This window comes from Homo sapiens, chromosome 9 (assembly GCF_000001405.40).
Source record: "Homo sapiens chromosome 9, GRCh38.p14 Primary Assembly".
In the NCBI taxonomy this organism is placed as follows: domain Eukaryota; kingdom Metazoa; phylum Chordata; class Mammalia; order Primates; family Hominidae; genus Homo; species Homo sapiens.
The window spans coordinates 87,664,253-87,676,816 of NC_000009.12; the positions used below are offsets into that span (position 1 = coordinate 87,664,253).

General features: G+C 48.1%; 1 protein-coding gene across 8 annotated transcripts in view; it reads left to right on the forward strand.

Moving 5' to 3' along the window:
* The window catches only part of DAPK1 (death associated protein kinase 1), a 211,407-nt gene that overhangs the window by 167,025 nt on the left and 31,818 nt on the right, over window positions 1-12,564 (forward strand). For all 8 annotated transcript variants that reach the window (NM_001288731.2, XM_047422887.1, XM_047422886.1 and 5 more), the window contains one exon: window positions 4,345-4,422. In NM_001288731.2, the coding sequence (NP_001275660.1) occupies window positions 4,345-4,422 (78 nt within the window). The remainder of the gene's footprint in view (window positions 1-4,344; window positions 4,423-12,564) is intronic.

The following is a 12,564-nucleotide window of genomic DNA, read 5'->3' on the forward strand; positions in this document are numbered from 1 at the left end:
CCCCATCATGGAGTTGTCACCTGCTGTTCTTTCACCCTGGAGCTCCCCTTTCCCCCTTCACCCCCTGCGCATAGTGTGCCCACAGCATCAGCACACACAGGCACACATCTCTCTGCCCACTTCTGCCCTGAGGGTACCTGATGGCGCTCTGCCTTCAGAGAGAGACTTGGAATGCCCGCTACGGGCATGTGGGCACACAGCCCATAACATTCGGGGAAGACTCCGTGGCACCCACTCCTCCTCATCCATCAACATTCACCTCCAGCCCAGGAAACCTCCTCTGTTCCAGCCTCTCCGGTGTGTGTGATTTGCCCCTGTGGGCTGGTAGTCCCTTCGCCTTCCTTGCTCTATTGGAATCGTATCCGGATTTCTCCTAGCAGGAGTGAGCCCTTGGGCAGGAATCACTGGGAATTCATTGCTGCCTCCTAAGTGGGCTCCCTGCTTCCACCCTTACCTGTCCACAGCCTGGTCCCCACGCAGCCGCCTGGTCAGACGTAAGTGAGATCTCATCCTCCTTGCTCAGATGCTCTAGCAACTTCTCATGGGAATCAGAGCCCTTCAAATGGGGGCTTCCCCAAGGATCTGCCCCTGACATTGCCTCCCTGACCCCCATCTCCTGTTCCGCCTCCTCCCGTCTCCCTCCACATCAGCCCCATGAGCTTCCTTGATGTTCTTCAAAAGTGCTGGCCATCCACCGCCCGGGGGCCTTTGCACTTGCTATTCTTGGGCCTGAGTGGCTCTTCCCCAGGTATCCATGTGATTTGGTCTCTCACCTTCTGCAGGTTTTGACTCGAGCTTCACCTTCTCAGGGAGGCCTTTCTGGACCACCCTATTTTAAATCCTATCCCTCCCCCACCCCCAGGACTGCCCCTCATCTCCCCTGCCCCATTTTTCTTCATAGCACCTATCACCACCTGACCTACTGTATTTTACTCACCTATTTGTTTCTTGTTGGCTCTCCCCACTAGATTCTGGATCCCATGAAAATAGGGACTTTTGTTGGTTTTATTCACTGCTGTATCCATAGCCCTGTGCATAATACGCACTCAGTAAATACCTGCTAGATGAAAGTATGAAGGAAGGAAGGAAAAAATGAATGGCACCATAGTCCAGGCAGGACATGGAGTGTTTGTTGACCGAGTGCTAAGTAGATGAGCCCTTATAATTCTGTAGGTTAACAAAAAATCCATATTTTCCCCAACACTATCTAAAGATGTTTAAATGACTGTGCACATTCTTTCAGATCATCTTTTCACTGGGGATACACAAATAGGTTTCCCTGTCAATGCTTGCCCCAGTTGAAACCCCATCTGTTCCTTTGCGAAGCATATTACACGTGTCACTAGAAGTCATGACTGTGAGCATTTCCCCAGACGTCAATAAGCAGCATGTCTGTGAAGGGCAGGCTCCTAAAACTGGCTGGCCTGTGGGGCTCCGGCTTCTTGAACACAATAAGTGAAGTGGCCTTTCACCTTTCCATGGATTTCTTTCTATGTCATGGGGCCAACTTGGGAATCACTGCCCACAGTCTAGAATGTAGTGTTGTGGGCTGCTGGTGCACAAGAGACACCGTGATTTCTGGACCCAACTCACCCTTCTGCAGCCACTTGGTCCCCAGGGCTCACGTTGAGATGATGGACAGCTGAGTGCTGAGACACTTGGCCATCTTTCTATATCTTTTCAATGCATGCACTTCATTGAGTCCATGAGCCCTGTTGGTAAGGAGGAGGGCAGCAAGTGTAAGTGTTGCTTTTGCAGCCTCCGTCGGGGTGTCCAGTAGAGCCAAGACCAAAATGCAGAGATCTGACTTCTGCCCCTTTCCCTCTCAGACAGAAGGCCAGGTAGTTAGGGCAATTCTCAGCTCTTCTGTGAATAATTTCCAACACTGCTTGCTTCTTCTGTGCCTGGCACTGTGCTGGTTCTTTCCATTTGGTTTTCTCTCACCTGCTCAAGAACCTGTGCAGGGAGGGTGCCATTTTCCATCTTGCAGATGAGGAAACCCAGGCTTGGGAAGGCTGAGTGACCCACCACATAGCCGGTGAGGGGTGGGTTCAGGACTTCAAACTGGGTCTTCTCCCAACTTCAAACTGTCTCCTGCACTGCCAGGCATTTCTGTTGAAAGTCTGAATAGTGTCCTTTAGAGCAACATGTTTTGCAAGCTGTAAAGTGCAGTGCAAATGTGAGGAAACATTTTTATTTTATATATATATATGTTTTTGTTTTTGTTTTTTTTTTTTTTGAGATGGAGTCTCATTCTGTCACCCAGGCTGGAGTGCAGTGGCACGATCTTGGCTCACTGCAACCTCTGCCTCCCAGGTTCAAGCGATTCTTATGTCTCAGCCTCCTGAGTATCTGGAATTACAGGCATGCACCACCACACCTGGCTGATTTTTGTATTTTTAGTAAAGACGGGGTTTCACCATGTTGGGCAGGCTGGTCTCAAACTTCTGACCTCAGATGATCCACCCACCTCAGCCTCCCAAAATGCTAGGATTACAGGCATGAGCCACCATGCCTGGCTGTGAGGAAGTATTGTTGATGGTGGTTCTCTTGACTTTGAAGAGGTTGAACAGTGGAGAGTTCATCCTGTCGGTGAAAGGCCTCTGCCTGTGTTTTGTGCGCGTCTGAGCTCTGCAAGAGGAACGTCCTGTTCAGACGTGTCGGGGGCAGGAAACTTCAGTCAAGGCTCAGATTTCTTCTAACTAGGGCAGTGGTTCCCAAACCTTGCTGCATAATAGAATTAACCTGGGAGCCCAGGATGTACCCCATACTGCTGACAGCAGTGTCTGTGTGGGAGCTGGGCGACAGGATATTTTCAAGTTTTACAGGTGATTCCAGAGTGTAATGGAGAACCCCTTCTCTTTATGGACTTTTCTTGTGTCCACAAAAAAACTAGAGCATTTGGCATGGATCCCTGGTTGGAGATGCAGTGTCTGATAAGGCACCTAATTCACCCCCAAAGCAAGCTTGAAGCCCTGGCCTGCCCACTGGGGGATATTTCAGGAATTTAAGGGAACAGAGAGACGGGCAGTTCTGACTGCACAGCAAGCCTCCACTGGAGCAGCCACCTGGGCTTCAACCGGCAGCCTAAGGCAGTGGTTCTCAGCAAGGCAATTTTGCCTCCTCCCCCAGCAATTGCCAATGCCTATTTGGTTGTCACAACTGGGAGTTAGGGGGTGCTACTGCCACCTAGTGTGTAGAAACCAGAGATGCTACTAAAATTCCTAAGAGGCACAAGACAGGCCCAGCAACAGAGAATTGCCTGGTGCAAAATGTCAGTGTTGGCAAGATTGAGCAACAGTGTCTGAATGGGACCCCAGGCATGACTCTGGGAGTGACTTGGGTTGAGGAATTGAGAGGTTGCTGTTAAGTAGATTTCGGATATCCCTAAGCTTCTACAAGGATGCAACTTTGTTATTGATACACATTGATAGATAAACCAAATCCTTACTTTTTTATTAAAAAAAAACATTCATTTTCATTTTTTTAAATTGCTTTTCATCTTTTCTACTTTTGAATTTTTAGTGATCTCTAAAACTGCAACAGAACAGCCCCTACATGTCCCTTTTCTCCCCAGTGGCAGGGGAACAGTGACAGCTTCTGCCTCTCAGGGGTGACTTCAAGGACTGAGGCTTGCAGAGAGCACTGAGAGCTGGGTCGAGCACATATTATGAGGTGGTGTTCAATAAATACTTGCTGTCATCGTGTATGTTCATGGTGTAGATACAGAAACAAATTTATTCAGTGTGAAACTGCAGCCTATGAAAAATCTCTAAATAAAAAGCAAGCATAAAAGTGCTGTGGACTCTTATTTCCTTGTTTTCTGTTCACCAAAAGATCTTTCAATCAAAATTGCCTGTCAAACTAAGTATTTCCTTTGAAATGCACAGTAATTACCAGGAGCTGGTATCATGCAAGGGCTGGGTTTGTCCCTGTAAGGATTATAACACAGTAGCTTGCACTAACTAGAATTTGGCACCTGATGAGAATCTTTACTGTCTGCCTGATTGGAGATTGGAGAGAGGGGTTCAGGACAGGGAGGAACCAGCCAGCTGAGGAGGCTGTTGAGTTGTGATTAAACCTGTGGACCTGAAAGGTGTCGCTATTGGACAGGAAGACACCAACATGTGCTTTGTTCCTGCGTCTTACCTTCCTGTCCTGGACAATCAAGTGAAATAAGGATTGCACAGCCAGAGAAACACACCGAGACGTGCTCTTTGTCCACCTGGCTTGCTTCTCACACCTGCTATGCTTGTTTCTGCCTCAGACCCACGGAATTGGCGTATGGAACACACACAGCTCTCCTTTTCAGAGAAAAGAAACTAATGCATTTTTCTCCAACAGGACGGAAAGACGGCAGAAGATCTTGCTAGATCGGAACAGCACGAGCACGTAGCAGGTCTCCTTGCAAGACTTCGAAAGGTGAGAAGTTCTGTTATAGGTCTGAAGTTCTCTACCTGTGTTTATGTGAAAAAGTCTCAGTCTTTTTCCTTATTTGAGAATGAGCAAAATGAGGCTCTAGACAGCCAGGTTTTAGGAACAGTGGTCCCTGTCCTGTGGTTTACATGTCAGTCGGTATAAATGCATCAGCTCCCTATCTGTTTTCTTCTCTATTTGGACTTGGAAATCATTTAGCATGTTTGCAGTTGCCGTGCCTGGTTTTCCTTCTCCCACTCTCTCTATAATAAACCACTCCCACAAAGTAGCGGGGGATGAGGACGCTGACTCTGCCTCTTTCCTTCTTATGTTTGAGCTCCAAGATGGCTGTTAAGCTCCTATTTATCAAACATTGTTGCTCTGAGGCTTAAAGAAACATGACAAAAATAAGTAAAGGCAGGTGCACCCTTTCCAGCCTACAACATGACAGTTGTGTCAGGAGACTTCACAATAGCCATACCCTTTAATCTAGGAACTCTGTTTTATGCTTAAAGATGTTCACTGCAGTATTATTTATAATACAGTAATAAAAATTGGAAACACAGATAACCCACGATAATGTCTAGTAAAGGGTCCTACAGCCATAGAATAGAATGGCTTTGGCCTTTTAAATATTTTAAGAAGTTTTACTAATAGGAGTTTATTGCTTGGGGTGGGGGGGGGTCACTGGGCTTCAAAGCAGAAGACAGATTGTATATAGGTAATAATCTCTACTATGTTAAAATCCATAGAAAGAAAATGATACAAGTGATGTTTTTCGATTTTGCTATTATACTCAACATTTTCTTCTTTAAACATTAGTGTATTTTAAAAAATTTAATTACTGTATTTTTTTTAAAATGTTATAACAATGGTAATCATTTTTTTAAAAACCACAAACTATCTAGAAATAAAATGATAATTCATTTGGTTTAAGTGCTTGCTGAGAAGATAATGTCCAAAATATGCTCCAGATATCCCACAAAGTTCTTGCCATATAGACCGAGAAGTGCCTGGGGAGAAGTGCTGAGGTCATAACCTTCACAGCCCCTGAAGTTTATATTTTCATACATGTCCTGTGGTCTTGCCAGGGGCAGGGGGGGGCCACAGATTGGGATAATTTCTTTCCTCATGCAGAATATAGACTTGGAGAGACACACTTCATATATGCATATTAAAACCCCTTGGAGTTGACCTGGCAGGGGTAAAATCATGGGTGATTGATTTTCACACCCTTCTGCTTTGGATTCTGAGAACTGGCCTCAGAGGCACTGAGCAGATGTTAATAAACTCTGAGAGCTGCGATTCAGTCTCCCCTTTGTCCTGGAAAGTCCAGAAAGAGACAAGTCAGGTAAAATTTCCCTAGCCTTACTCACCTGTTCTTACCAGAAATTCATAAATTACCATTATGGGCTCAGTGATTTCTCACTCTGTACCATTATGGACTGTGTCATTATGCCAGCGAATTTGGACTAGAAACTCAAGGGAAACCTTTTCGTTTACAGGCAAAACAAGCAGGGGCAAGGGAGATCCCGTGAGTCGTGGTTACCATTCAAGAATGAGCCTTTTCATAGAGTTTCCTAAGTTTAAAATTCACTGTCTTTCAAGCAGAGGACCAGCCAAACCAGACACGTTGGGCACAGAATCTCACGCCTCTAGGCTGGTGTACATCCATTACCCAGGCAGCATCCATTGATAGTGAAAGGAGAAGAGAAGTCTGGTTTTTGCACAGGCTAAAAGAGCACAATTTCTTTTTCCTGTTAGTTATTAGGTCTCTATTACGGTCCACTAGTAGGAAGAAACACTATTAAGGAAGGCTGAAAGGCTTCTTCGACAGGCCTCATAGCTTTACCGAGTGCATAAGCCTGCTTGGTCAGGTGTGCTCAGGTTTCCACACAGAGAGGCTGCAAACCCACCTGCAGCACCTGGCACCTGGCTTGCATCCCTGAGTCCCCATGCTGTGCCCTCCCAGGTGTATGATGCCCTGGCTCAGCTCACACAGCGCCAGCACTTCCACCACTACCGCCCTCTGGAAATCCGCTTACCACATTCACTCTCAACTTCGAGTGCTGTTTACCATCTAAGAAACTGTATTACAGAGCAGGGGCCAGGGGGACCTGCAGTCAGCTCATTGTGAGGCGGACACTCAGCTGCAGCAAGGTGACCTGCAACACCCTGTCAGGTCACTCGGGAAACCCACCTCATGCAGAGGGAGGAGGCGTCTCGTGGGCTGTGCTGTGTTCTGCTGCCCATGCCCCCTTAGCAATGGTCCCTTCTTTGACTTAAAAGTAGCTTACTGTGCGAGATGCAAACCCACTGTTTGGACGAGTCTGAAAACAGTGAAGGAATGCTCAGAAAAAGGACCGAGGGAGAGCAGTGTTGCACTAGCCGGGGATGGTCGGATCGGTGGTGGGTGGAAGGTCCTTCTCCCGTCCTCTGTCCCCGTTATCTGCAGCCTGCTTAGATGACTGGCATAGTGAGGAGTAGAGATGCAAAGCACCTTGCTGCGGCGCTTCCTCCAAATCCTCAGTGAAAGGGGCTTGTTCCCATTTAGAATTCTGAGTTTCTGGGGGTGGGCTCTCACCCTGTCTCAGTTTGGGATTTTCTTTTCTTCTATCCATTGGTACCTTTGTTTTTGGTGCCTAGATTTTTAAAAGAGATGGGAAGTGAACTATTACAGCTATAAAATACAAAATACAAAAATATAAAATATATTTTATAGTTTATAAAATAGAAAAAACTATAAAATACAAAATATTATTTTGTGTTTTACCATTATCCTGTGGTCTTTTTCTCTAAAGGAGAGGTCAAGGAAAAGAATAGTCACCTTTTTTTTCTTTGTTTTTTTTTGAGATGAGGTCTTGCTCTGCGGCTCAGGCTGGAGTGCAGTGGCATAGTCAGGGCTCACTGCAGCGTCAAACTCCTGGGCTCCGGTGATCCTCTTGCCTCAGCCTCCCAAGTAGCTAGGACTACAGGCACGTCAGACACGTGTCTCCACACCCACCTGGCTAATTTTTAACATTTGTATTAGCAACTATGTCTCAATACATTGCCCAGGCTGTCTCTAACTCCTGGCTTTTAGTGATCTTCCTACTCTGGCCTCCCAAAGCAGTGGGATTACAGGCGTGAGCCACTGCACCTGGTCAGAATAGTCATCTTAATGCCCTAATTAAAGGACAACATCCCCCTTAGCACCCAGAGTCCAGTGAAAAGTCCCCCCTCATCTTTATGTAGAAGCAAAGTACAGAGTAGTGCCTAAGAGCAGAGACTGGAGGTCAGATGGCCTGGGATCCAACTCCAGCTCCGCCACGCTCTAGCTAGGTGAGCTAGCAAGCTGTTCAACAGCTCTGTGCCTCAGTGTCCCCGCTTGTCAAATGGTTGAGTCAGCTGCTACCTCCCACGACCGTGATAAGGGTTGGATGGGTCGATGTAGATGATGTCCCTTGCACACTGCCTGCACACAGTAAGCACCACGTGTTTCCTGTTATTGTTGGAACCCCGCAGACCACTCTGGAACAGCTGTGAGGTGCAGCAGTGGCCCCTGTGGCTGGGCACCCTGAGTGTCATTTGTGATGACAGCCACCATTGAGCGCTCAGTGTGTGTGGTGGGCACTGTGATTTTACAACACACAGTTTGTAAAGGTTTACAGAGGGGAATGTTGCTGCAGGAAACCTGGATTCAAAGAGGTGAGCAACATACTAATCAGTGCAGACCTGAGGTCCTGACCTGACCTGGAAATACCTGTGATCTGCTTTTAATCAATGGGCTCGGGGGGCTCCAGGGCAGATTCCTGGCCTGATGGGATATGTCCTTTCCACACTGGCTGCTGTACCTGTGCTGAGCCACCTGCTTTGTAGTGCACAGGGATCTCCTTCCCATGGGGAGGCCCAGGGTTCTAATTCCCTCAGAATCTTCTAGATGCTGTGTTCAAGGAGTCCCTGGAATTTGTTTGTCTTCATCATCCCTCAGTGGGCTCTTGACGTTAGCCCCTGATTAGCCATAATGGGAGGAGTTGTCTGCCAAGCATTGCTAATTGCGGTCTTTCTTCCTTGTGTATGAATATAAATCCCCATGCAAGTAACTGCTTGGCACCTGGGCACACCCGGTACTGGAATTTGGTTATTGGAAATGACTGAGCTGTCGCGGCAGCTTCCTTGGAGAATGCATCGCTGAGGATTGTGGGGAGCCCAGAAGCAGGCAATGCCTGTGGAGGACACCAGGAAGGGGACTGACCTGCAGTTCTAACTTGGGTCACCTGGAGGAGGAGACAATCGGGTACATGATCGGGGAGGGGAAGGGAAAGAAGAAGTCATTCACCCTGCAGAGCATCTTAGGACCATTTTCCTTTCCATGTCATTTCTCCTTGATATTCCCCAGTGTTTCTCACTGGGTGCTGTTGGCAGTTTGGGTGACTGGGAGGCCCTGTCCTTGCAGGATGTTTCTTGTCCCTGGCCTCCAAGCATCTAACATGCTAGCATTCCCTACAGCCATATTGTGAAAACCAAAAGAATCCCTCCACACATTTTCTCTCAACCCCTAGGGTGCTACCACACTCTGCAAGAACCACTGCAGGTTGATCCAAAGCGCTGTCCTGGGGAGAGGTCTGTATCTGGGACAGCTGAGGATGGTGGCCCTACATTGCCTGCCATTTTATTTGGTTTCCAAATGGGCCAATTGAGCAAAAGAAATACTTTCTATCTACGCTGTCAGCTTTCATCAGTTGACATTGCCTAGCAATGTGTCTTTAAACTATATTTGCTAGGGAAGCAATGGGATTTGGCATCTGGAAATAGAACCAAAATCATCCTGTTTGCCCGCAGCAGTGGAAGATGTGCAGGGGAGAGGGACTGGCTGTTTTGATCACTGGAGAGTTCAAGGGGCAGGAGACTGAAGACTGCTGAGGCCAAGGCTACAGCTCTTGGGGAAGAAGGAACCTGGGGCAGGGCTGAGCTGCATGGGATCGACTCTGACGCACCTCCACATTAAGTGAACTCGGGCAGTAGTGTGCAGGAGCCTCTGGTGCTGTCCCTGAGCGCCGAGCTTGTTTTCCCAACCTGGTGACATCACATGGGAGTCTTGAAATCAGCCAGGGAGGGAGCATTTGCACCACAGGAATCAGCAAATGCTAGAGATGAAGTCTGCTTCTCCCTACCAAAGGTTGTTGATAGGTTCATCATTGCTTTGGGGGTCCCTGAGAGCCCGCGCTTGGCTGTAGGTACCACCTTATCACAGAGGGAAGTTGTACCTTCTACTTCCTTGCGCTCAGTCAGTAACAGAGCCCTGGGCAGCTGTCCAAACCTGCCTGAGGACTGTGTTGTTGCTCAGCCAAACCCAGTTCTCCTTCTAGAAGAAAGGAGGGACCCCTTCTATGGGAAAGGGGTTGATCTAGATTTTTATATCAGCACCCATTTTTACTATAATCACTGCAAGTTCCATTCTTATCTGATTTTAAAATAAGAATTTCAAGGGGGTTGAGGAGTTGGCTTATTTTTATTTTGTTTGGCCATCCTTCTAATCAGATTTTCCGTAAGCCTGAAATTAAAAGTAGGCTGGGTGCGGTGGCTCACGCCTGTAATCCCAGCACTTTGGGAGGCTGAGGCAGGCAGATCACCTGAGGTCAGTAGTTGAAAACCAGCCTGGCCAACATGGTGAAACCCCGTCTCTACAAAAAAAATTAAAATTAAAATTAAAATAAATTAGCCAGAGATGGTGGTGTGTGCCTGTAGTCCCAGCTACTCGGGAGGCTGAGGCAGTAGAATCGCTTGAACCCAGGAGGTGGAGGTTGCAGTGCACTGAGATCATGCCACTGCATTCCAGCCTGGGTGACAGAGTAAGACTCTGTCTCAAAAAAAAAAAAAAAAAAAAAAAAAGTAGTTTGCTTTTACTAAACCTAAGACCCAACAGTGAAGAAAGGTGGCCAGGAATATTTTGAAAAATGAAAACAATTGGGGAGTTGCCCAGATTGAAAAATTCACCACCTGTAAACTGCATTTGCGTAATTAAAAGTTGCTGCACCATCCGTGCAGTCTCACTGCACCCTGCCACATGGGCAAGGCCACATCGCCTCTCAGTGCTCTTATCTGGCCTTCCCAGACCGTGAATGGTCTTCCCCATCAGCTTGCTAATGTTTAGTCTTCTTGTCTGATGAGAAAGTGAAAGCTAAGTTGCTAGGGAGAAAACAGTACTGGAAGAAAGAAAAGTAGAAACTAGGAGATTTACCAGGGCTTCAAAGAGCAACACAGTTACCAAATAACATTCATTCACTCACACACTGAAAAGATATTTCCAGTGTCTACTGTAAGAGCTGTTCTAGGCACTGCAGAGACCACAGTGAACAAAATCGGCAGAACCCAGCCAAGAAACCGATAAGAAAAATGTGTAAGTCAGGTCAAGGGGTGGCAAACAATGGCCTACAACCCACTGCCTGCTTCTGTAAATAAAGTTTTATTGAGACACAGCTACACACTCTTGTCTGTGCCTGGTGTTCCTACATGGCAGAGTTGAGTTGCCACAGAGACCATCTGGCCCTCTACAGAAAGGGTTGCTGCCTCCTGGGGTAGGTGCCATGCAGGGAATTGAAACAGGATGAAGTGAGATGAGAGGATGGTGGAGTCTACTTTCACCTGGCTGATGAGGACCTCTCTGATGTGACACTGAAACCAAGACCTGAAGGGCAAGAAGAAGGAAGCAGCCCGAGGAAGGGCTGGAGGAAGACAGAGGAATAGGGAGTGCAAGGGGCCGGGTAGTGAAGGGTTGGAGGAGCTCAAGCATAAAACAACAAAGAAGGAGGGTAACTGGGCTAGGGTCAGAGGATGTACCTGGGTGTGCAGGCAGAGAACAATGCCCGACATGACCCGAGAGGCGGCACAGCTCTATAGACCTTACCCAGCGGGTGAGGAGTTTGGGTTTGGGCCAAGTGCAGGCAGGTGTGAGATCTGCCTTAGGTTTAGGAATTCTCCCGGCTGCTCAGACTGGAGCCTCAGGGTCAGGATGGGGAGCAGAGGGACCTGATAGGAGGTGATCTTGGCAGCCAGGGGAGATGTGACGGTGCTTGGACTGGGGCTGTCCAGGCTCTATTACTTAGTGAGCCTTGGGCAAGAATACCAGGGAGGCTCCTACTCCTGTGTAAATATTTAAAGGATGTGATTAGAGCTAATACAGGTAAATACATTCTACCCTACACACACACACACACACACACACACACACACACACACACACACACACCCTTATGACCACCTGGAAGGTTCTGAGTCAGAATTCTGCGCTCCTTGGAGTTCGGTTCTGCCTCCTCCTCTCCCCAGCCTGGTCTCGCCCTGACTGCAGGAGGTCTTGCCCACACCCTGGATGCCCCAGGTCTCCTGAGTACCCTCCAGCCACACCCACAGACCTAGGGGACACACACTGGAGAGCACTTCAAACCATGAGCCAAAAATGTCGGTGGCACCATAGTCCCCTCTCCTCTCCCCTAGAGGTGTTGGCTGCACATGGCTCCCACCTGGCCCAGCCAGGGAGGGCCCGACCAGCCTGGGCTTCGTGCCAGCCAGGTCTCAGGGTTGTCTTGTAACTTGTGTTAAACACACACTGTGTAAGGACTACTGAACTCCCCCTCCAAATAAATCAGTCTTCCTAGCACCTTCTAGACCTGGCCTGGAGCCCTCTCTGAGTTGGAGATAGATCATTACGTGGATGAAAGCTGCTTTCCCAGGGAGAGGCCTCTGCGCCACAACCCGTCCCTACCCGCCATCTGGTAGTGAAACGTGAAAACGTGCCTCCACCAATGAGGGAGATATATTCGGATGTGCTTAGATTCCCCAAGGTTCTTAGTGAGCAGGACGAGGGGTCATCTGCCAGGATCAGCTGAGATTTTCTTGTGAAGGGAAATACCCGAGGATATTTTGCTTTTCTTTGCCTTTCAAGATGATGGTGAATTCTGTAAGTCTAGATCAGCGCAGTTTCCTGGCCTCTCTTCCCAAAGACTTGGTGAAGGGTGAGTGGGCACATCTTGGCCAAGGCTGACAGCTCCTGGTGGAGGGGAAGGGGGTGCACCAAGGACAGGTGCACTCCAATATTTCACTCCAAAGGGTGCCCTATTCAGGAAGTGCCTTCCGAGTGGGATGCACTGTGAGGGGCCCTCCTTGGATGGT